This window comes from Homo sapiens, chromosome 21 (assembly GCF_000001405.40).
Source record: "Homo sapiens chromosome 21, GRCh38.p14 Primary Assembly".
Classification (NCBI taxonomy): domain Eukaryota; kingdom Metazoa; phylum Chordata; class Mammalia; order Primates; family Hominidae; genus Homo; species Homo sapiens.
The window spans coordinates 20,674,122-20,699,995 of NC_000021.9; the positions used below are offsets into that span (position 1 = coordinate 20,674,122).

At 35.7% G+C, this 25,874-nt stretch overlaps 1 annotated feature.

The window, feature by feature from the left end:
- Nucleotides 14,819-16,018: an enhancer, noted in NCBI's record as "CDK7 strongly-dependent group 2 enhancer chr21:22061254-22062453 (GRCh37/hg19 assembly coordinates)". NCBI's record gives its function as "activates an origin of replication core promoter dependent on BRD2, BRD4, P300/CBP, MED14 and CDK7 cofactors, with strong dependence on CDK7, by STARR-seq in HCT116 cells {active_cell/tissue: HCT116}" and the evidence as "EXISTENCE:reporter gene assay evidence [ECO:0000049][PMID:35650434]".

Below are 25,874 nucleotides of genomic sequence, written 5' to 3' on the forward strand. Positions count from 1 at the left end.
ATAGTTTGGACATTTGTCCATGTCCAAGTCTCATGTTGAATTGTAATCTCCAATATTGGAGGTAGAACCTGGTGGGAGGTGTTTGGATCATGGAGGCAGATTGTTCATGGTTTGGTGCTGTCTTTGTGATAATGAGTTCTTGAGAGATCTGATCATTTAAAAGTGTGAGGCAGCCCCCACCCCCACTTTCCCTCATTCCAGCTTTTGCCATGTGACATATCTGATCCCCACTCATCTTCCACCATGATTGAAAGCTCCCTGAAGCTTCATCAGAAGCTGAGCAACTACTAGCACCACGCTTTTTGTAAAGCCTGCAGAACCATGAGCCAATTAATCTTTTATTTATAAATTATCCGGTATCAGGTATTTCTTTATAGCAAAGCAAGAACAGCCTAAAACACAATAGTTAGCTAAGAAAATTAGAGGTAGACCAGTCTAGGTCAGGAAGACACACTCTTGTCTGTAAAGGGCCACATTGTAAATATTTTCAGCCCTGCAGGGCATATGTTCTTTGTTGCAACAACCCTAGTCTACTGTTGCTGGAGAAATGCAGCCACAGAGAAAACAGACAGCAGGCCAGATTTGGCCCATGGGCAGTAGTTAGCTGACCCCAAGCTAGGCAAAGAGCAATTTAGGTATGTCTGAAAACCTTGATGCACAAAATCTGCATGTGTGGTTTATGAAAACATACCACGTTCATTCAGCACTGTGCCTGAAACTGAAAATATATTTAAATTTATTATCTCATTCAATCCTTACAACAATTTGATTGAGTGGGTAATATTATTATTTCCATTTTACACACAGGAAAATAGAGCCACAGAAATATTAAGAAAATTGCCACCAGTTACATATTTGTAGATGACAGTGATGGGACTCAGGCAGTTTGACTCCAGGGACCACACTTGTAAGAGATGTTCCAAAGAAAATAAAGCTGTAATTCTAGTTGAAATACTAAATTCTCTATTAATTTTGAATAATTGAGATTATTACACTACTTCTTTCTACCCAGAAACACATTTCCTTGCAGTTGTTTGTGTCTTATTTTATATGTTTCCATATTACTTTATAGATTTCTTCGTATGGGACTTAAAATTTTTATTTTTTATTTTAGTGTTTTAAAATTCTGTTACAGTTTTTATCACTAATATAAAGCAACTATTTATTTGCACTTTCAATTTAAATGTTTACTGCAAAATAAGTTTAATTGTTGATTTCAATAAAATGTTTATATTTTTCCAATATTTAGGATATTATTTGCTATTCTATTTTGTCACTTTAGCTTTCTTTTAAACATTTTAATTTGCTTAGTTTTTGAGAATGTGTGCTGTAGTTTATCATTTTTGTAGCAATTATTACTAGAATCATACCTTCTTAACTCCTTTAAAACTTAGATTAAATAAATAATGTTGATTTGCTAACTATAAAATAGCATTGCCTTTCTATAATAAATCTTTTTCGTCATAGTGCACCATTATTTCAATACATCATTGTTGTTATAAACATGATTTTATTTGGGATACATTGCTTCTTCTCTTTCTCTTTTCTCTAGCTCATATTTATCCTAGTTTCAAAATACATACTTTATTTGTTATTTTTCTTTGATCATTAAGAAAAATTATTGATTTTTAAAAATTTTATTAAAGGTTCCCATTTTTCCTTACCTTGCTCTCTTCATCCAATTCAGACTTTTTTATATGAAAAAAAATTAAAAGAAATGAAAGAACCAGATTACCTGAAAAATAATTTTCCCAACCTAACTCCCCTATTTCCTCTTTACAATAAGACCTCCTCTCCAAAATTAAAGCACACGTTTTGCCTTACTCCTGCTTCTGCTTTCCATCCTATTCTAATTCCCTCATGAGAACATGAAAATTTGGTAAAAGCTTTGCTAACTCTTCATCTCCAACCCAAGTCCTGTTTTCTAGGTTTGGTTGAAATCATTAAATGCTTTTACTGTTATTACAATGACCCCTAAGTATATCCTTTTAGTTTCAAGGCTCTGTATATTTAACCCTTATATTTATATTCTTTTTATATACTTCCACGTTCTCACTATTTCCTCTTCATCTTTTCTTATTTTGAGTTTGTGTTCTTGCACATTTTGGGTATAGCATAATCATTTCTCATGTGTTTTTCTGACATGCGCAATGGATGTTATGCTTCCTCAATCTTGGCTTATCCTCACATACCATACCTTAACTCATGAGTTAGCTCTGATGGTTAACTATTTTGATGGCCATTCAAATCTTGATTGTATCCTTTTTTCTCAGTACTCTTTAGAAATAATTTCTATTGTTTTTATTGACATTTAATGAAGTAAATGTCAGTTCTGTTCACTGAGTCTTTTTTTTCTTTCCCTTTTTGATGTTTTTTCTTTTTATGCAAGTTACTATTTAATTTCAGAGAGTCATTAGATGTTGTAATTGAGTAACTATCCCCTTTTTATTCATGTTAATACCCATCTTCTCTAACAACTTCATTTTTTGTGTACATTATTTGTTTATACAGATTGATCTTTCTCTCTGATACAAGGTCCTCTGAGATAGTTAACTTATTTTGTTTTATAGTAGCTTATGTTTTTCAAGCCCCTATGCTATATTTCATGCCTAATTGCTGGATTGCCTTCAAAGGTGGCACAGTTAGGTGGTGACTATGGTTTCTTCTACATGGGCTGTGGTGGACAGGAAACCAAGGAATTTAGCTCCTTGAAGAGGAATGTATAACAAGGCCCTGGTACCCCACATTCCTAGTTCAAGATCTTCTTCTGCAGGTAGAACTTGGCCTACTCTTCAGCAACCTCTTCCACTGTTATATAATAGAAATGATGCAACTTGGTGACATCATTGTAGACTTCCTTACCTCCAAATCTGAAGTCAACACATCTGTTATGTTCAAACTCTGCTCGACATATGCATCTCTAGGTTTTGCCCTGGGGTCCTCATTGCCACTATCTAGGTCTTCATCTGGCCCTTAGATACTAAAGTCTCATATATTTTTCCTTCAAAGGGTTCTTAGTAGAGTCCAAAGATTCCACTGTAGTCAGATGACTACATGTCCCAGCATCTATATTTAGAAGAAAAAGATAACTTAGAGATAGGAAAGAAGAGCAATAGATTTGAATTTAGCTGTTTCTATGTCCAGATTTCTCCTTCTTAGAAAGACTGATGTGAACATCTAAAATAAAATTACAGTAATTTAAATGTTGATAATACTGCTATTTAAGTGTGCCCCTAGTCCTTTAAGATATTCAATTCCAACAAAGTCTGAGATGCAGAAGTAATAATACATATAATGATCAATATCTAATATTATATGATGGCTAAGATTATTGAGCACTTATATAATGATAATTAATTTACATTTATAATTTATATTAATATTTACAAAACCTCTATGTTGTTGGTTCTACTACTTTCTTCATTTTACAGACAAAAAAAGAGAAACATAACTGGTAAAGAACTAAGTAAGTTACACAATGAGTAAGTGGATTAGTAGATTAGTAGAGACTTCAACTAATGCCTGAAGTTTTTCTGCTTGGTGGTCCCCCAGCACAGCACGACCCAAACTAATTAATATACTCTAAGTAACATAATTCAAAGAGAATGAGCAAGAAAGCCTCTTCCCTAAAATATTTCAGCTTTTATACTTATTATTTCTACTTTCTGTTTTTTCCTTACTTTGAAATTTCCTTAAAAATATTTGAGCAAATTAATGATGAACTACGTATCAAAGGCAATATTATTCTTTAATTAACAAAACTCCTTAGACTTTATTAACATATGTTACTAGTTATGACAGGTTGCATAAAGAAAACTTTAATTCCAAAATGCTGATCTATCTTTCATGTCTTCAGAAATTCTGTTTGCTTACAATTGCAATGGATATAACATGACCTAGTTTTTGAAAAAAATTTTTTAGTCCTTAATAATAAAGGGTGATATAATAAATCTATGACAATTAAAGCAGGTACAATGTTATAGTATTTTACCAAATAATTAAACAAGAGTTTTGCTCCTCTTATGTTCTTTGATTGAACATCGTTTGTATTTTATAGGAAGACTTTCACATATTTGATCTAGTCTATGTGTAGAAGACACCTGGGAGATAGAAATTTTGGCTATGTGATAGAAACTATGGTATTTAAACTTAATGGTGCACTTAGAAGCAACAAGGAAAAACTTCTTAGAAGGTTCTGTTTTTCTAGGAGAAATATGAAACTAAATATGCCACTTATTTTTGGGTATTCTAATGTGTTCTAATAATATCTCCAAATGGGAGGTAATTTCTATATTCCTGTGAGCTCTCCATTTTATCTATTTCTTTTGGAAAAGAGTAAATACTCCACACCTATAATGCCAAGTAGTTCTTAATTTACATTTTATTTATTATCTTTCTTATGGTTAGAGTCTATGTTTATAGGAATATTTTATTTTCGTGGCTCATTTCTGTCATTAAAACAGATAATGTAACTACAAAAAGGAATATGATTGAAAGAGAATTGTTTCTTTAAGGTTATTTCACAAAGATATTTTGAGACTTTTTTATTGTTTTTCTTAGATGGAAGGAAGTAGTGAAGAAGATTCTGTGGGGTTTCTGCTAATAAAATGATATAGTAGTCATTAGTTGTTTTATGGTCATTTAATTGAAATCAAGTGTGCTACAGATTTATACTTTGAAGTATATGAAAATAAAAATGTGAGGTTAAATATTAATAGTCACTCCAACATCTGAAAGACACTGATAATTTGAATTAGTTTGTGAATATATAAAAGACACTTGTTTTTAGAAGTAGTTTAGGTGCGGAATTACAGAACTTGTTAAATAGAATGACAGATGAGAGAGCAGCAGCGTCAACTTTAAGCTTTTTGGTTTAGATATCTGAGTCACTACTACCTCCCCTTAGAAAGATAGGGAGAGTCAAATGATAAATAGACTCTGGATGAGAGAAAATAGGCTTAGTTGTGGATTTTATCAGTGAGTGTGACTTCTGGGTGTTCATATAGGAATATCAGATAAAAACTTATAAAGGAACGTGGAACTCAGGAAGAATTATTTTTTTCAAAGAGACCATGATCAACATCCAGAAATCAGATAAGATAAAAACTAGAAATAAGTAACTGGTTTCAATGAGTCACATGTGGAGTTAGAGAGAAGAGTTCATAATGCTCTTAGCTGAAGTTCGGTAGAGAAGGAAAGAAAAAAGCAAAACCTAATTTTAAAGGTACAAGAAATAAAGATAGGAAAGATGAAATAATATCTCCTTGAGGGGAAGAAAAGAAATATGGTTTAAGATTTCAACAGAAAAACTAAGAAGTTACAGCAAACAAACAAAACAAAAACCAGATAAATGAGAAAAAGGAGATCTTAGTGGTGAACTTTGATTTAAAATGGGAAGGCGCTGTTAATTTCCAATTTTTAGCCTAGTAGTAATTGTTTATGAGCAATGAGAGGCAAGTCAGTAGTATACATTAGGAAGGTGGTAATAGTTTTTTGTTTTTTTTTGTTTTTTTTTTTTTTTGAGACGGAGTCTCGCTCTGTCGCCCAGGCTGGAGTGCAGTTAAAATTTACATTGGAAAAGAAAAGAAAGGATATTAGAAATGAATAGTATTCAGAGCTCATCTGAATAAGCAATCATTAATTTCCAATAGATTCAATGCTGTCCTGTAGGTTTATCCAGTACGCTTCCAACTAAGAGGAGCTGTTTTATTGATCCAAAGCCATTATATTGATCCAGAGTCAACAAAAGCAAACCGGTGGAACTTGCATAGGCATGACAATTAAGCTTGATGTCAAGAGAATGACTGTCATGAAAACTCCAGTAGGTAACACATTCTTAAAGAACAGGGAGGATGTTAAAGTAAAGGAGGTTACAACGAGTTTGAGAAGGTTCCTCTTAGGAATAAACAAAGTGTATTCCACACATAAAGGAGGCCAGACAGTATATATATGTCTTTCTGGGTCTAGTGGTTGCCGGGGACTGGAGTGAGGTAGTAATGAAGAAATGTTGGTCAAACGGAAAAAATTTCCAGTTACAATATTAATAAAATCTGTGGATATAATATATAGCATAGTGACTATAGTTAAAAATAATACTGTTTACTTGAAATTTGCCACAATAGTAAATCTTAAGGGTCCTCAATACACAGACATACATAAAAGAGGGTAACTATGTGTGGTGATGGTTGTGTTTATTAATTTAATTGTAATGTTAAACAATGTATACATATATCAAATCATCATGTATGAATCATGTATGTATAATTTTCATTTACCAATTACACCTCAATAATGCTGGAAACAAAAAATAAAAGAAAGAGAAAGGCAGAAATAAAAAATGATTAAATTAGAGGAAAAGATGGAATATTTGGAACAGTTAAAGTTCTGGTAAAGTATATGCAGAAAATTACCTAAAGATATGAATGATAGGAAGTTGAAACTATTAATGGTCATTGTTATGTTCAGCACTGTGTTATGAAAAATTCCAAACGTACAGCAAAGTTGAAAGAATCTTCCCATGATATCTATACCAGCTATACAGGAATTTTCAGTTAACATTTTATTATAGTGCTTATCACATATGTCTTTATCCATCTTGCTATTCATTTACTAATTTGTCTCAGTGTTTCAAGAATCTCAAAGGATATTTCAGGCAGCATACTCCTTTTCTGTAAAAACGTTAGGTACATATACTGAATTTCTCATAATATTTTGTAAACTTATTCTAGATTTCTTTTATGTATCAGTAACTTTGTTTTATTACTGACATTTTTAAAAGATGCAAAAAAGGCCTTTGATAAAATTCAACTGCCATCCCTGAGTGAAAAAAATCTTAGAAAAATAGGATTAGAAACAATATTTGTGTGTGTGTGATAAAAGATACCAACAAAAATCATACAGCAAATATTATATTACAGTGAAATATTGGAGGCATGCCTCTTGAGATTGATAAAAAGAAAAGTTCGCTTGTTACCATCACTTCAGTTCAAGGTTGTACTAGATGTCCTTGCCAGTGGAATAAGAACAAACAAAGAAATAAACATATAAGGATTGAATGGCAAGAAATAAGACTTACTGCTTTGCCGGATTGCAAAATTGCATAGAAATTCCTAAACAATCAATAGATAAGCAATTGAAATTGATAAAATGATTTAGCAAAATCTTTGGCTTCATGGTCAATTTGTAAGTATTAATTTTGTTTCTATATTACCAACAACAAAAAATCAGAAAATAAAATAAAATTACTATTTGAATAACATCAACAACTTGTAAAAGACAGAAATAATTCTAAATGATAGGCAAAAACTTGCCACAGAACATATTTAAAAATTGAAAGTAATAAAAATCTCAAATAATTATATGTATTTTAATGGATTGATATACTTAGTATTTTAAGTTATTGTTTCTACCAAAATCTATACATGAATTCAACATCATAATAGATAAAATCCCAGGAGTGTCTAAGAGTGTGTGTGTGTGTGTGTCTGCGTGTGTATGTGTGTGTGTGTGTAAAATTGATTCTAATATTGATTTTTGTTTTTTTTTTTTTGAGACAGAGTTTCCCTCTTTGTTGCCCAGGCTGGAGTGCAGTGGTGCGATATTGGCTCACTGCAACCTCTGCCTCCCAGGTTCAAGTGATTCTCCTCCAGAGTAGCTGGGATTACAGGCACCCGCCACCACGGCTGACTAATTTTTGTATTTTTAGTAGAGATGGGGTTTCACCATGTTGGCCAGCCTGGTCTCGAACTCCTGACTTCAGGTGATCCACCCACCTCGGCCTTCCAAAGTGCTGGGATTACAGGCGTAAGCCACTGTGCCTGGATGGTTCTAACATTGATTTTTAAACACAAAGAGCAACCAAAGTTGAATGACTTGCACTGTAAGATGACATAATTTAGTATAAATTTATACTAATTAAAATAGCATGGTTAATTAAGACAATGTCATTTCTGAACAAAGATTAAAAATAATTGAATGAGACAGAATTGTCCAAAAGCAGATCTACACTCAAATAAGACTCTTTAATGATGACAAAAAAGGCACTACAGACTAATAGATAATTATGAATTTTAGCCCTGTCTCACATCAGACATTAAACCTCATTCAAGGTGGAGGGTGGAGGTAGAAAGTCTCACACAAGATAAAATCATAAAGCTTCCAGCAGATAGTTCAGGAGAAAAATGTCCTGAATTTGGAATAAGGTGACATTTCTTGAATAGGACAGTAAGTTCAAAATATGAAGAAATTATACAACGTTTAAGTTAGAAAATTTTATTCATTAATAGTGATTATTAGCAGGTGAAATGCAGGATATAGAGAGATAGGACACATTTCTCACCTATTTAACACTCAAAAATCTAGTTCCAGTTTATATAGAGCTATTCTCTAAGTAATAAGGAAAAAAATGATAAATCAATCTTAAAAGGGGATAAAAAGCCTTAAATAGATATTTTACCAAAGAGGGGATCTACATATGCCATAAATATACAAACAAGTTCAAAATCTAATTAGTATCCAGAGGAAATCAAATTCAAAGTTCAATGAGATAGCACTATGCATCTACCAGAATAACTGAAAAGGTGGAAAACCCCATAATATGGAGTGTTTGAGGTAGCACAGCAACTGAAATTTACACCTGCCTTTGGGTACAACAACTTGAGTAACCTCACTGGCATTAATTACAAACCTGAATATAGGCACATCATATGATCCAGTAATTTCATTCCTGCCCAGCAGAAACGTGCACAAAATCATGAACTTAAACACTAGCAACAGCATTACTAATGATAGTCAAATTAATTTTCTTAATAGTAAAACAGATAAGCAATGGTATTATATATAATGTCATACAATGGATTACTATATAATTAATTTTCTTCAATAGTAAAACATATAAGCAATGATATTATATATAGTATCATACAGTGGATTACTTTACTGCAATAAAAATGAACAAACTATAGGTACACGATGTCTTGCTTGAATCTCATAAACATTGCTATGGTTTGAATGCTTTTTTCCCCACTAAAATTTATGTTGAAACTTAATCCCCAATGCAATGGTATTAAGAGAGGTGGCCTTCAGGAGGTAATTGAGTCATAAGAGGTCTGTCTTCATTAATGACATTAGGTGCATTATAAAAGGGCTTGAAGGAAGGAGTTTACACCTTTTTGTTCCTGTTGTCCCTTTCACTATATAAGGCACAGGATTCCTCCCATCCAGGATAGCAACAAAGTGTCATCTTGAGTGCAGAGAGACTGGACCATCATCAATTGGTGACTGGATCTTGGACTTCCCAGTCTCCAGACCTCTGAGAAAACAAATTTCTGTTCTTTATAAATTACCCAGTCTCAGGCACTTTGTTAAAGCAGTATGAACAAACCAAAACGAATACAACGGGTAAAAAGAGCAAAAAAAAAAAAAAAAAAAGAAAAGAAACTTAATATACAATCCCATTTATATAGAATTCAAAAGCTTCCAAATTAATCTATGATCATAAACTCAACTAATTGGGTTCTGGTGTTTTGGGTCTGGATGGTAGTTTAATGGACATGTTTATTTTTGATACAATTTATTAAGCTGGCCAATTTTCATGTATGCATTTATTTTTATATGTATGTATGTGTATTTGAAAAGTCATTTTATCAGTTGATATAGTTTGGATATTTGTCCCCTGAAAATCTCTTGTTGAAATGTGAGCCCCCATGGCCGGGCGCGGTGGTTCACACCTGTAATCCCAGCACTTTGAGAGGCCCAGGCGGGCAGATCACAAGGTCAGGAGATGGAGACAAACCTGGCTAACATGGTGAAACCCTGTCTCTACTAAAAATACAAGAAAATTAGCCGGGAGTGGTGGCGGGCACCTGTAGTCCCAGCTACTCAGGAGGCTGAGGCAGGAGAATGGCGTGAACCCAGGAGGCGGAGCTTGCAGTGGGCCAAGATCGTGCCACTGCACTCCAGCCTGGGCGACAGAGCAAAACTCCGTATCAAAAAATAAAAAATAAAAAAAAAAGAAATGTGAGCCCCCAGTGTTGGAGTGGGTCCTAGTGGGAGGTGTTTGCGTCACAGGGGCCGATCCTTCGTGAATGGCTGGACGTCCTCCCTGTAGTTATGAGTGACTTCTCACACTACTATTAGTTCCCTGAACAGTCAGTTTTTCCTCTCCACAATCTCCACACTCTTGCTCCCTCTGTTGCCATGTGACATGCCAGTTCCCCTTGACTTCTGCCATGAGTAAAATCTTCTTGAGTGCTCCACCAGAAGCCAAGCAGGTGCCAGCAGCATGTTTCTTGTATAGCCTGCAGAACTGAGAGCCAGATAAACCTCTTTGCTTCACAGATTACTCAGTCCCAGATATTCTTTATAGCCATGCAAAACAGACAAACACATCAGTATTCAAAACATTCACTAGCTACCTTGCTTATAATTCTATCATAATTATGTATTTTATAGTTTCATTTTCCTTGATCTTTATACTTTCTTTTCTCACCAAAAGTGGTATTAAATTTTCATTAAATTTAAAAACAGTTTAAAATTATAATATTAAAAACTTATATGTTAAGAAAGACACATTTTTCAAATTTTCAATTTTTTTTTCTCCAATGCATGAGTAAAACATTCAGCTTACATATGGGGGCATCTCTCCGAGAACTTAGAATTTCAGAGTATCAGGTAGTAAAATGTTGAAAAGTTTTGAACATAATCTGCTAATTTAACTGATAAGGGAACGGTAGCCAAAATATCAAAGTGAGTGAAACACAGTTATATAATTAATACATGGCAAGACTCAAATTTGCTTTTCTGACCATAAGTTCAATATTCTGTTCTTTGGTATTGTTTAATGCTTCCTAGAAACTTTCTTCAGATAGAAGGTATTTCTTTGATCTCCCATTTCTAAACTTGCTGCTTGTTGTACCTTAAGATGTGATCTTCACTGGTTATAAAATTTCAGAAAGAAAAGTGCTTTGTCACTGAGGGTAAGCTTAAATGTAAGACTTGCATCTTTTCTCCATGTTTTCCAACAGGGATATACCAAGTCCAGAGGAGAATAATCAGTAAAAATGATTTTCTGTACAAATACAAAATGTAAGATTATATCAGAATATCAAATAACAAAAATAAAATTACTAACCATGTTTTCCGTGGAGACTGTAGAAGGAAATAATGCATTTTCTGATCATTGTATCTAAATTTATAATACGGTGATATTGTTTTTTGTGCTACTGATATATGTTTTAAACATATAAATCAGACAATATTAAGAACATTCTAAAACTATTTACTAAGGCATCACTATGGTGAATATTTTTGTAAAGTAAAAACTCTTGTAACAGGAATAATCTTTCCTTAGTTCATCTGCTCGCATGTCTAGTTTTCTGAAATTTAATTTTACAAAACTGAAGAACAGTGGAAAAAAGATCTGAACAGATATCTCACCAAATAAGAAATCCAGATGGCAAATAAGCATATGAAAACATGATGAACATCATATGTCACTGGAATTTGCAAAGTAAAACAACCATGAGATAAAATGACACATCCATTAGAATGGTTGAAATTCAAAACACTGACAACACAAACTATTGCCAAGGAGAGGATGTAACTGAACTCCCATTCATTTATGGTCAGAATGAAAAAGTGTACAACCACATTGAAAGACAGTTGGGCAGTTTCTTAGAAAGCTAAGCACCATCTTCTTGGTAAATATCCAGCAATAAAACTCCTAAGAATTTATCCAAATGTGTTAAACACTTATGTCCACTCAAAAATCTACACATGGATGATCATAGCAGCTTTATTCTTAATTGCAAAAAAGTGAAAGCAACAAAGATGTTCTTAAATAGCTGAATGGATAAACAAACTGTGGTACATCTATACAATAGAATATTATTCAGTGATAAAAAAAGAAGTGAGCTGGCCAGGTGCAGTGGTTTATGTCTGTAACCCCAGCACTTTGGGAGGCCAAGGGGGATGGATCATCAGAGGTCAGGAGTTCAAGACCAGCCTGGCCAACATAGTGAAACCCTGTCTCTACTAAAAATACAAAAATATTAGCCAGGTGTGATAGCAGGCACCTGTAATCCCAACTACTTGGGAGGCCGAGGCCGGAGAATTGCTTGAACCCAGGAGGTGGTGGTTGCAGTGAACCAAGACTGTGCTACTGCACTCTAGCCTGGGTGACAGAGTGAGGCTCCATCTCAAAAAAGATAAAATAAAATAAAAAAGAGCTCTCAAGCCAGAAAAAGAGCTGGAAAAAAATGAGTATTGTTAAGTGAAAGAAGCCAGTTTGAAAAGTCTACATAATGTATGATTCCAAGTATATGACATTCTGGAAAAGGCAAAACTGCATAGACAGTAAAGAAATCAGTAGATTTTTTGCACAGTGACACTTTTCTATATGAAATATATATATATATATATATATATATATATATATATATATATATATATATATGACATTATGCACTTGGCAAAACCCATAGAATGGTATAGCACAAAGAGTAAACCCTAATGTAAACTATGGGTGTTAGTTAACACTAATGTAATGCTATGTATTAAACTGTATCTTCTGTCATTCATATGTTAAGGCCCTAACACCAAATGTGATGTTATTTGAAGATAGGGTTTTTAGGTAGGCTTTTAGGAGGTTATTAAGGTTAAATGAGGCCAGAAGGGTAGGGTCCTAAGCCTGTTGGATTGGTGACCTTATAAGAAGAAGTTCTCTTTCTGTTCCTCTCTCTCATTCTCTCTACACACACACACACACACACACACACACACACACACACACAGAGGCATACACCTTATGATAACTCTCCCCCTCCCCACAGACACACACACACACACACACACACACACACACAGGCATATGCCTTAGAATAAGATTCTCTGTCTCTCTGTCTCTGTCTCTGTCTCTCTCTCTCTCTCTCTTTCTTTCTTTCCATGAGCATACCTCAAGACATGAGAACACACAGTGAAAAGACCACCATCTTCAAGCCAGGAAGACACCCACTACCAAAATCAAGTCATATTGGCACCCTGATTTTTGAAACTTCCAGTCTTCAAAACTGAGAGAAGATAAATTTCTGTTTAAGCCACCCAGTTTATGGCAGTCTGAGCTAAGACAGGCATCCATATTGGTTCATCAATCGTAATAAGTGTAGATCAATGACAGCTATTAATAACAGATGAAACTACAGACCTGGGGAGAGAGAGCATATGGCAGTCTTCTGTACTCTCTTCAATTTTTCTGGAAACCTAAAATGTCTAAGAAATGCAGTCCATTAACTTCAAAAATAAAATAAACAAAGAAACCCCCCACAAACACAAACATTTTTCCATGCCTCCATCAATCAGTCCTTTAGCTGCCAAGTTACTTGACAGAGGCAGAAAATTCTTTCAAAGCAAATGTTGAACTAGTTAAGAAGCCACAGATTTAAGCCTTTTTTCCACCAATTAGATTAGTATGACTTTGGGATATTCATCAAATCTCTTCAGCCTTCAATTTCTTAAACTATAAGTTATGATGTAATGAATTTATTTAAAAAAATACTTATCTTTTTGATCTCACTGTATTTTTACTTTTTGCATTTTTATATGATTAAAGGAATATTTTTAGCTTGGGAGCTACAAGATTAGTTTACCAAAACATAAATAGTAAATTCATCTTTTCAAAGTGATGCAAAATCAGTGCCCTTGTTATTAGGGCTAATTGTTTTGGAATTTGTGATTGTGCGTGTGTGTGTGTGTCTGTGTGTGAGAGAGAGAGAGAGGAGAGAGAGACGGAGAATTTTCAAATTTGAGTTGTGACTAAAAAGTTCATAGTTTTAATAATATGGGGTTTTGACAAATTTTAAAATGTGATGAAATGTGAGTTATCAAAACTGTAATTACTGAAATGAAATAAAGGCATATTATCTGTTACTAGAAAACTATTTGGTGGTATGAACAGTTATGCTTCTTCTCACTTCTTACTATGAATTCAATGAAATTATTTGCTTTTAAATCATTTTTTATAAAAATAACGGTTGAGATTTAAGATGAAAAGATATAATAACTATGGGAGAGACTTAAACATTTGTAGTTTGCATCAACATAGACAGATATTATGCATACTACAAGCGAAGTATTTCTCCTCTTTTCATCCATTTTAGTGGTTGTTTAGCATTACATTTATTAACTTCTGACTTGATCAACCTAAAATAATCTGAAAAGACACAAAGTAGTCGTAAAAATATTTTGAGACCCAAATTATATGTGATTTCCACTAGGAATAGCCTATTCCAGCCTTCGAGAATCACTATAGATCATTGTGTTCAGACTTCCTCTTGAGTAAATTTGAGGCTACTACCTCTGTAATTGAAAAATTTTAAGCACGTATTTTAATTACCATTCTGTCATTAGGTACATGTGGTACTATTCCAGATTCAATCATTACATGACTTGCTACTCATGCTGTTGTTGAGCTTATGAAGAGATTAATGTAATAACTTGTCTGTGCTTTCTCTGAATTAATTTAGAATGTGCCTCATTCTCTTCCTTCTGTTTGATTGAAAATTAGCAAGAAACAGTCTAATGCAGTGTTTATAAAAGAGTAGATTTGGGACTGCTTGCTCTAGATTATTAAAATGCTTCAGGTTCAGCTGGTTTCAGATGGAGGAGCTGGGAGTCTTCAAAAACCCCTCAGTGTTTGTTATGCATAGTAAAATTTGGAAATTCTAATTTATAGAAAGAAAAAATTTATGTCGATTTTTCTCTTTCCAGATTACCCTTTGAAAAAAGTAGCATATTCAATAATCTGGCATCTGTTTATTCAAGACATATTTAATGAATATTTTCCATATTTCAGAAATCGCTGCATAAACGTAAAGAAAAATTGCCAGGCACAGTGGCTCACACCTGTAATCCCAACACTTTGAGAGGTTGAGAGAGGAGGATAACTTGAGTCCAGGTGTTTAAGACAAGCCTGGGCAACATGGTAAGATCCCATCTCCACAAAAAAAACTTAAAATTAGCTGGGCATGGTGGCACCGACCTGTTGTCCCAGCTACTTGGGAGGCTGAGGCAGAAGGATCACTGGAGCCCAGAAGGTTGAGGCTGTGGTAAGCTAAAATTGTGCCACTGTACTCCAAACTGGGCGACAGATAAGAACCTGTAACCTAGTAAATAAATAAGTAAATGAAAAGAATAATTGAATCAGAACACTACCTATGGAAAATTCACAGACCAATACATTCTATAAGTAAACACCAACAGAATGGCTAACTTTCTTCGGCAAACAACAAAAAAGACATTTTTCTAATGCAAGATTAGAATGTAATCCTTGGAAAGGATTTTTATTCAAATATTACCCTTCTTAGAATTTTGTCATATTTGAATCAAAATCCTCTCCAAGGATTACAACATCAGAAATTATTTTAGAATGTTTCAGATACTGTGTATAGCATACGTTATCTGTCATTCAATCCATAAGATATCAAAATGAAGTAAATAACATTAGTTTTGCTTTCATTTTATAGGTGAGAGTGTGGAGAGGTTAAATGCTCCATTCAATGCTGTACAGCTTGTAAGTTTACTGCCATAATTTGAACCAAGACCGGTTGCTGCTGTCTTTGAGCTATTCTGTCTCCCCTCTAAAAAGGCAGAAAACCTCCTGTAAAAAAAGGGAAGACTGTTCTAAAATTTCTAAATTGCATTTAACTACACAGAATCTTTAGGCTCTTCTAGGAATTACGACAAAATGCCAAAGAAAAGCTGGAAATTGTAAATAAACCATGCTGAGCTTAGGGACAGGTCGTGAGATAAGTAATAAATTCTTATTTAAAGTCTAATTTTGACACACACTTACCTTATACTCTTCGTATCATCCCCTGCAATCCACCTCACCATTACAAGAGAATGGACTGTCTCTTGCGGAGTCATAATATGAAACTTCCCTATGCTATGGAGCCTCCCAAAGGTCTATTCAGGAAAGGTTGTTATGCTTTTGAAAGCAAGCAAACACATCTTAAGGGAGTATAGAAAGTTTGGTGTTAATGAATTTAGTCACTATTTAAAAATATACATTTTTTTCTTAATCAATTATTTTGGCCAGGCATGGTAAGAAGCATAGCTAAACAGCATTTTGAGCAAAGCAAACAGGGGACCTACCCTGAAGGAGCTTAAATATAGTTAAAGGAGAAAGATAATAAACAAAATAGAGAAAAATAATTGTATTTAGTCTGTTCTTGCACTGCAAATAAAGGCATGCCCCAGACTAGGTAATTCATAAAGGAAAGAGGTTTAATTGACTCACAGTTCCACGCAGCTGGAGAGGCCTCACAATCATGGCAGAAGAGCAAGGGACATCTTACATTGTGGGAGAAGGGAGAAGGATGAGGGCCCAGTGAAGGGTGAAGCCCTTTATAAAACCATCAGATTTCGTGAGAACTAACTCACTATCACAAGAACAAGATGAGGGAAACCGCCTCCATGATTCAATTATGTCTACTTGGTCCTTCCCACCACACTGGGAATTATGGGAACTACAATTCAAGGCGAGATTTGGTTGGGAACACAGAGCCAAACTGTATCAATAATACAAATAAAAACTGAAATAACAAACCAGATGATCCAATAGAGGAACGTGGTCAGGAAAAACAAGCCTGGCAGACAGATATAAGCTGAAGCCTGAAGGTAAGAAGAAACCACACAGGCAGGAAGGAAAACAAATAACAGACCATGTCAGGAAGAAAACAAACTAAACAAAGTTGATGAGGGTTGGAAAGATCTTGGGCTTTCTAACAATTGGTAGGTGGCAGATTTGCTGTCTTGTAGCATGATCAGGAAATAATGATGTAGAATGTAGTTGACATGAATGAATGGAAAACATTCTTCATTGGAACCTATGATGGTTAATTTTATGAGTTAACGTGACAAGTACATAGTACCCAGATATTTGGTTAAGCATTATTCTCAATATTTCTGTGAAGGTATTTTTGAAATAAAATTAATATTTAAAGCAGTAGACTTTTTAAGTAAAGTACATTCTCCTTCATAATGTAGGTCGGCCATATTCAATTAGTTGAAAGCCTTAACAGAAAAAGACTGAACTCTGCAGAATAACAGGGAATTCTGTCAGCAAATTGCCTTCAGACTTAAACTGCAACTCTCTCTTGGGTCTGTAGCCTGCAGGCCTAATTTGCAAATTTTGAACTTGCCAGCCTCCACAATCATGTGAGCTAAATTCCTAAAATAAATTTCTCTATCTATTTATCTATCTACATCCTGATGTTTCCGTGTCTCTGAAGAACCCTGACAAATACAAAATCTCTAAAGATAACCTGAAATTTGAATAATAGCAAAGTGCACGTAGATCCTTCCACTGGAAAGAGGTGAGATGGCTCTGGGACATAGTACAGGATCTGGGAGGCATGTTGACCAAGACTCACAGAAGATGGGACTGATTTTTTTGGACTTTGAGTTATGAAAATGGCTACATTTTTTGAAACTTACTATTTATTTACAATTCTATGATTCATTTCTTTTATGCCTCAATGATATGGTTTAGCTTTTTGTCCCCATCCAAATCTCATCCCCAAATTTAATCCCCACCTGTCGAGGGAGAGACCTGGTGGGAGGGGATTGGATAATAGAATCAGGCTTCCCCCTTGCTGTTCTCATGACAGTGAGGGAATTCTCACAAGATTTGATGGTTTAGAAGTGTGGCACTTTCGCCCGCACTCCTGTTGCTGCCATGTAAGACATGCCTTGCTTCCCCTTCACCTTCTGCCGTGATTGTAAGTTTTCTGAGGCTTCCTCAGCCATGTGGAACTGTAAGTCAATTTTATTAAACCTCTTTTTTAAATAAATTACCTAGTCTTGGACAGTACTTCATAGCAGTGTGAGAACTGACTAATACACTAAATTTTAATACATTATTATTTAAAGTCTAATTTTGACACATACATCCACATAAAACAGAAAAAAAAGTCTAATTTCTTTTATCACTTAAGACATTAAGAAAAATTTATGTGCTATGTTTACAAAGATAGTACTTGGAAGGAGAAGAGCAGCCCAAAGAGTGTTGATTGTAGCACCGTCCAATAGATAGAGCTGAAAACAGCTGTCTGGATCATAAAGCAAGAGAATAAAAAGTAGGACTGAGATAGCAGATTTTTTTATATATGTGAACATTACCTGAGGATTCCAGAAGTACCTGGAGGTGAAGGAATTTCACAAATACTAAGCTACCAGTAGAAAAACTGAATGGTCTCTCAAGCCATCGTACTTTGTCATTAGAAAGAAATAAGAGTTCTGGTATCTGATCTAGCAAAGGAGACTAGAAGCTTTCATTTAGTCCTAACAATGAGGGAAAAGCTGTACAAACTAGATCACACTCACAATTTTTAAATACATCACAGAAGTGAGGTCACAGGAAATGACAATTTTCCTGAACAGAAATCCAAAATCAGAAACCTCCACGAGAACCAGTGCTGAAACCAGAACTGTAATTAAGGAATTGCTGGAAGCTCCATTTGGACAAATAAAAACTCCATAGGGATGCAGTCGTAGGAGGACCCCATGCTTCTGTGAGTTTACCTCTAGGAGCTCCACCACAGTCTCAGAGACAGTGCTGGAGAGAAATTCCCTTGTGCTTCCAGGAAGAAGAGGAGAAAAGTAACCATTTTGAAATACACTAGAGCATTCTATTCTTCTTACCAAATCCTGCCCTCGAGAGAATCCGTTTTACCAGAGCCTGTGGGGGACCTTTGACACAAAAGAAACACACTGTTACTATCAGACTCATCTGCATGAACTTCCAGCAATGATTATAAGCAAGCTTGGGGGCAATATGAGACGAGAAAATTATCCCCCAGCTGTGAGAATGGCACAAATCTTCACCCGCTGTTCAGACATATTTTTATGCAGAGCAAGAGACTTAATCCACTAGAAGAGGTGCACCAAATCCCCTTGTCCTCCAGGCATAGTTAAAGAGTAAAAAGGTAGAGAAAAAACGGCCTATCACTGGGAGAGAGAAAAGAAAAACTGTTGAAGTCAAGATTCTAAACTGTTGCTAATAGAAATGACTAACCACTGGAGGAAGGGAAGAGAATTCTGTGCCATGTAAGCTCTAACATAGACACAAGGCAACATCTGGATGACCTGGGTAGAAAAAGAGATGAATGCTGAGAAAATTTAACCCCAGGTGCACAGGACTTACCTAAGACTGCGGTCAAAGACAATTGAGATATCTCTATATTCCCCACTATCAGCCTAGCAAGCACTGAGTAATAATAAGCAAAAAATAAAGTATTACTATGTGACAGGGCAAGACAATGGATATAAACTTCCTCTGAGGAGAAAACTTACAAGGACACCTTAAACCAGAGGGATGGGAGGGGGGAAGTATGAATAATTTAAAATTATATGCTCTGAAGACATCATCTTAATCACAGAGCATCACTGGAGAACTTTGAAGCCAGTAGAATGTTAAAGATAACCATGTTAAAATCAAAGCAAAAAAAAAAAACAATAATTTTTAAAAACTCAACTTGAGATAAAATTGTTTCCAATCTCTTCTACCATGTGTGCAAGTACATGTGTGTGCATATGCACACATACCCTTCCCCCCACACACATATATACACACACACACAAATGGCCTGACAGAAGAGTTATTTCCATATTCGTTCAAATAAATACTATTTACTTCAGTCTCTACCTCATATATCCAAAATGTCCAATATTTCATTAAAAATTTTGAGATGCAGAAAAAAAGAATAAAAAATGCTACATATTTGGAAAAATTAGAGCAATCAACAGAATGGATTCTGAATGTACCAAGATGTTGGAACCTTTAGAGAGGCATTTAAAATAACTATGATTAATATATAAAAGACTTAGTGTAAAAGGTTGACAACATGTAGGAAGGCACAGCTATTTTGGCAGAGAGGGAAGCTATAAGAAAGAATTGAATGGAAATAGTATAATTAACATTCATAATATCAACAGTAAATAATTTCCTTGACCATCTCAAAAGTAGACTTGATAGGCCAGGCACAGTGGCCCACGCCTGTAATCCCAGCACTTTGGGAGGCCGAGGCGGGCAGATCACAAGGTCAGGAGATTGAGACCATCCTGGCTAACACAGTGAAACTCCGTCTCTACTAAAAATACAAAAAATTAGCCAGGCGTGGTGGCGGGCGCCTGTAGTCCCAGCTACTGGGGAGGCTGAGGCCGGAGAATGGCGTGAACCCGGGAGGTGGAGCTTGCAGTGAGCCGAGATTGTGCCACTGCACTCCAGCCTGGGCAACAAAGCGAGACTCTGTCTCAAAAAAAAAAAAAAAAAAAAGAAAGAAAGAAAAGAAAAAAAAGTAGACTTGATATATATATGTGTGTGTGTGTGTGTGTGTGTGTGTGTATATATATATAGGCTGAAATTATGCAAACTAAAACACACGAGAAAAATATTGGGGAAAAAAATTTTTAAACTGTGGGACAGTAGTAAACAGTCTAACACCATGTAATTTGGAGCCAAAAGCAGAAAAGAGTAATTAATAAGACACTTGGACAGAAACTCAGTAAGGATACAAAGATCTGACAACAGTAAAAAAAAGAAGAAAATAGAATTAAGAACAGATAGGACTCATAGAAACAAACCGCAACAAAGAGACTTAAATACTGTAACATCAATAATAACATTAAATATAGGGCCTGGTGCAGTGGCTCACTCATGCCTGTAAACCCAGAAATTTGGGAGGCTGAGGCAGGTAGATCACTTGTGGCCAGAAGTTTGAGACCAGCTTGGGCAACATAGTAAGCCCCTGACCCTAAAAGAAAAATTTAAAAAGTAGCTGGGCATTGTAACATGGACCTGTTGTCTTAGCTTCTTGGGAGGCTGAGGTGAGAGGATTGTTTGAGAAGTTTGAGGCTGTGGTGAGTTATGATTGTGCCACCGTACTCTGGCTTGGGCAACAGAGTGAGACCCTGTCTCAAAAAAATAATAAATAAATAAAAATGTTTTACCATCCCAATTAAAATCAGAGTTTGCCAGATTGAATAAAATAGTATATCCCAAATAATTAATTAATTAATTAAAATGGTTTACCATCCCAACTAAAATCAGAGTTTGCTGCATATAAAAGAATTCACTTTGGAGTAGAATGGTTGACATCAGATAAAATGGAGGAATAAGAAATTTACAACTTTACTCCTTTATATAAGTAACGGAAACACTGGCCAAATGATTGGAATCATCTTTTTTTCTTTTTTTGAAATCTGGATACTAACCAAAGGCTTGCCGTAAGCTAGGGAGTGCTTATTCAAGGAAAACAGCTGAATGTCAGTAAACACGGTGAGCTGTGCAGTGTTTTAACTTAACCTACTTTTGTCCTCTGTTCCCTAGTTCGGCAGTAGCTGTGAAAATAAGAGCTCACATTTCCAATACTAGAGGGAGCAGACAGATCTCATTTGCAAATGTTTGTAAACATTTTTTTGACCAGTTTAGTCACCCCTTGGAAGGCCAACTCAAATTCTTAACAATATTTCGCCTTGCTTAGAACCAGGTCAGTGCTAAAGCTGCTTCCAAGGGTATTTGTCAAACACATTTACAGAGTAATGTTTTAGTCACTGCTTCCAGAAATAACGGATAACAATTGAGACAACTAAAGGACTAACGAGATATTCCCAACACACAGAGAGAACTCCTCAGCAAAGACTAGAAGAGTTTTTGATTCCAAGTGTTTAAGGAAATCCTGTCCAAACATTAGCTGATCACTAAGCTAATGGAACAGAGACTTCAGTGACCAGAACAACAAAGAATACAGACTTTACAGAATTAGTTCAGAAGAGTCAATAAACAAATAAGCAAAAACAGCTATATGGACCAACAACAATAGTGAAGCAACAAGCATGTGTCTCATTCCCAGAGCGGCCACAATATAATATTTTAAATTTTCAGTTTTCAAGAGAAAAGAAGTGTGCAAAATAACAAGAAAATATGTCCCATATACAGATGAGTAAAAGCCATCAATAAAAACTATATTTGAGGAAGCCCAGATATAGGAATTTCCAGAAAAATACTTTAAAACAGCTATTTTAAATATGTCCAAAAAGCTAAAGAAAGTCATCTCTAAAGGAATAAATGTATGTGAATCATATCTCACCAAATAGGGAATAACAATAAAGATATAGAAATAGTTTAAGTGAACTAAATATAAAGGTTAAACCTTTGAAGTACAATAACTGAAATTAAAAATTCAATAAGGGGTTCAATGGTAGATTTGAGCAGGCGGAAGAAAGAATCAGCAAACTGAAGATAGGACAAACAAGATTATTCAGTCTGAGAGAGAAAATGTAATGAAGAAAATGAACAGAGCCTCAGAGAGTTTGATGGGATACCATTAAGCATATCAACATGCACATAAAGAGAATCCCAGAAGGAAAGGAGAGAGAAAGAAGAAAAAACTATTTACAGAAATTACCCAAACTTTCCATATTTGATGGAAAATATTAACATTGCCTGCACATCTGGCAAACCTAAACCAGCAGTACACAGAAAGAATTTTACACTATTACCAAATGGGACTTATCACAGAAATGCATACTTGTTTCACCATAGAAAATTCATCAATTTTAAATACATGTTAATAGAATAAAGGAAAAATATTTCAATAGATGCAAAAAAATTTGACAAGATTCAATATGTATTCATATCAAATACACTCAACAAACTAAGATTAGAAGGTAACTTCCTCAATCTGATACAGGGCATCTGCAAAAAAACCTCACAGATAACATTATAGGTAATGGTGAAATATGGAAAGCTTTTCAGCTAAGATCAAGAACAAGACAGATGTCTGCTGTTGCCCCTTCTATTCAGTATTGTACTACCTGTTCTAGCCAAGTCCAGATTAGAAAGGAAGAAGCAAAAGTATTTGTAGATGACATGACCATAAGGAATACACACACACACACACACACGCACACACATACACACCCCTCACATAAAACTATTAATATTAAAGCTAATAAATGATTTCAGCAAATTTGCAAGATTCAAGATCAACATCCAGAATTAGTTGCATTCCCCTATGATGAGCACTGAACAATGTGAAAATAAAATTAAGAAAAGAAGTCCATTTATAATAGCATCAAAGGGAATAAAATCCTTAAGAATAAATTAACCAAAAAAATAAGACTTATATACCGAGAGCTATGAAACATTATTTAAATAAATTAAAGATCTAAATAAATGAAAAGATGTTCCAGATTTATGGTTTGGAAAATGATATTGTTAAAGGCACTGTATTTCCCAAGTTGATCTAGAGATTTAATACAATCCCTAACAAAGTTCTAACTTCTTTTTCTTTTGCAGATATGATATGGATGAGCTAATTCTAAAATTAATTTGAAAATCCAGCAAACCCTGAATAGCCAAAATAATATTGGGAAAAAAGAGCAAATTTGGAAGAGTCCTACATTTCAATTTTAAAACTTACTATAAAGCTACAGCAGTTAAGGCAGTATGATACTGACATAAGGAATAGAATAGAGAACCTAGAAATAAATTCTCCCATCTGTGGTCAATTGATTTTCAATAAAGTTTCCAAGACCATTCAATGTGGAAGGAATAGTCTTATGACTGGATCAATTACACACATATATGCAAATTAAACCCATTTTTTAAAAGATACCTGATACGCTTTGGCTATTTCCCGACCCAAATCTCTTCTTGAATTGTTGCTCCCACAATTCCCACAAGTTATGGGAGAAACCCTGTGAGAGATAATTGAATCATGGAGGTGGTTTTCCTCATACTGTTCTCATGGTAGTGAATAAGTCTCATGAGATCTGATGGTTTTATAAGAAGTTTCCCCTTTTGCTTGGCCCTCAGTCTTACTGCCACCAAGTAAGACATGGCTTTTGCCTTCCACCATGATCATGAGAACTCCCCAGCCACATGGAACTGTGAGTTCATTAAACCTCTTTTACTTTATGAAGATCCCAGTGTCAGATATGTCTTTCTCAGCAGCATGAAAACAAACTAATACAATAAATTGGTACCAGATAATGGGGTGCTGCTTGTAAAGATACCTGAAAATGTGGAAGTGACTTTGGAACTGGGTAACAGGAAGAGGCTGGAACAGTTTTAAGGGCTCAGAAGAAGACTGGAAAATGTGGGAAACTTTGGAACTTCCTAGAGACTTGGAGGGCTCAGAAGACAAAAAGATCTGGAAAAGTTAGGAACTTCCCAGAGACTTGTTGAATGGCTTTTACCAAAATGCTGATTGTGATATGGACAATAAGGTCCAGGCTGAGGTGGTCTCAGATGGAGATGAGAAACTTATTGGGAACTAGAGTAAAGGTCACTCTTGCTATGCAAAGAGACTGGCAGCATTTTGCCCCTGCCCTAGAGATCTGTGGAACTTTGAAACTGAGCGTGATGATTTAGTGTATCTGGTGGAAGAAATTTCTAAGTGTCAAAGCATTTGAGAGGAAGCAGAGCATAAAAGTTTGGAAAACTTGCAGCCTAAAAATGTGATAAAAAAGAAAACCCCATTTTCTGGGGGGAAATTCAAGCCAGCTACAGAAATTTGCATGAGCAACAAGGAGCCAAATGTTAATCACCAAGACAATGGGGAAAATGTCTCCAGGGCATGGCAGAGACCTTTACAGCAGCCCCTCCCATCACAGGCCAGAGGCCTAGTAGAAAATATGGTTGTGTGGGCTGGGCCCCGGGCCCTCCTGCTATATGCAGCCTAGGCATTTTTGCCCTGCATCCCACCTGCTGCAACCTTGGCTAACAGGGGTAAAGGTACAGCTCAGGCTGTGGCTGCAGAGGGTGCAAGCCTTAAGCCTTGACAGCTTCCATGTGGTGTTGAGCCTCTGAATGAGTAGAAGTCAAGAATTGAGGTTTGGGAAACTCTGCCTAGATTTCAGAGGATGAAATCTCTGAATGGAAATGGCTGGATATCCAGGGTGAAGTTTGCTGCAGGGTCAAGGCCCTCATGGAGTACCTCTGCTAGGGCAATGCAGAAGGGAAATGCGGGATTGGAGCCCCCACACAGAGTCCCTACTGGGGCACGACCCAGTGGAGCTGTGAGAAGAGAGCCACTTTTCTCCAGACACCAGAATGGCAGATCCACTGACAGCTTGCACCATGCACCTGGAAAAGCCGCAGACACCCAATGCCAGCCTGTGAAAGCATCCAGGAGGGGGCTGTCGCCTGCATAGCCACAGGGGCGGAGCTACCCAAGGCCACGGGACCCCAGTTCTTGCATCAGTGTGACCTGGATATGAGGCATGGAATCAAAGGTGATCATTTTGGAGCTTTAAGATTTGACTGCTCTGCTGGATTTCTGACTTGCATGGGGCCTGTAGCCCCTTCATTTTGGTCAGTTTCTCACATTTGAAACAACCGTATTTACTCAATGCCTGTACCCCCATTGTATCTAGGAAGTAACAAACTTGCTTTTGATTTTACAGGCTCATAGGCAGAAGGGACTTGCCTGGTCTCAGATGAGACTTTGCACTGCGGACTTTTGAGTTAATGCTGAAATGCGTTAAAACTTTGGGGGATTGTTGAGAAGGCATGATTGGTTTTGAAATGTGAGGATGTGAGATTTGGGAGAGAGGGACCAGCAATGGAATGATATGGTTTGGCTGTGTCCCCACCTAAATCTCATCTTGAATTATAGTTTTCATAATCCCCACATGTTGTGGGAGGGACCTGGTGAGAGATGATTGAATCATGGTGGCAGCTTCCCCCTTACTGTTCTCCTGGTAGTGACTAAGTCTCATGAGATCTGATGGTTTGATAAGGGATTTCTCCTTTTGCTTGGCTCTCATTCTTCCTGCCACCATGTAAAACGTGCCTTTCACCTTCTGCCATT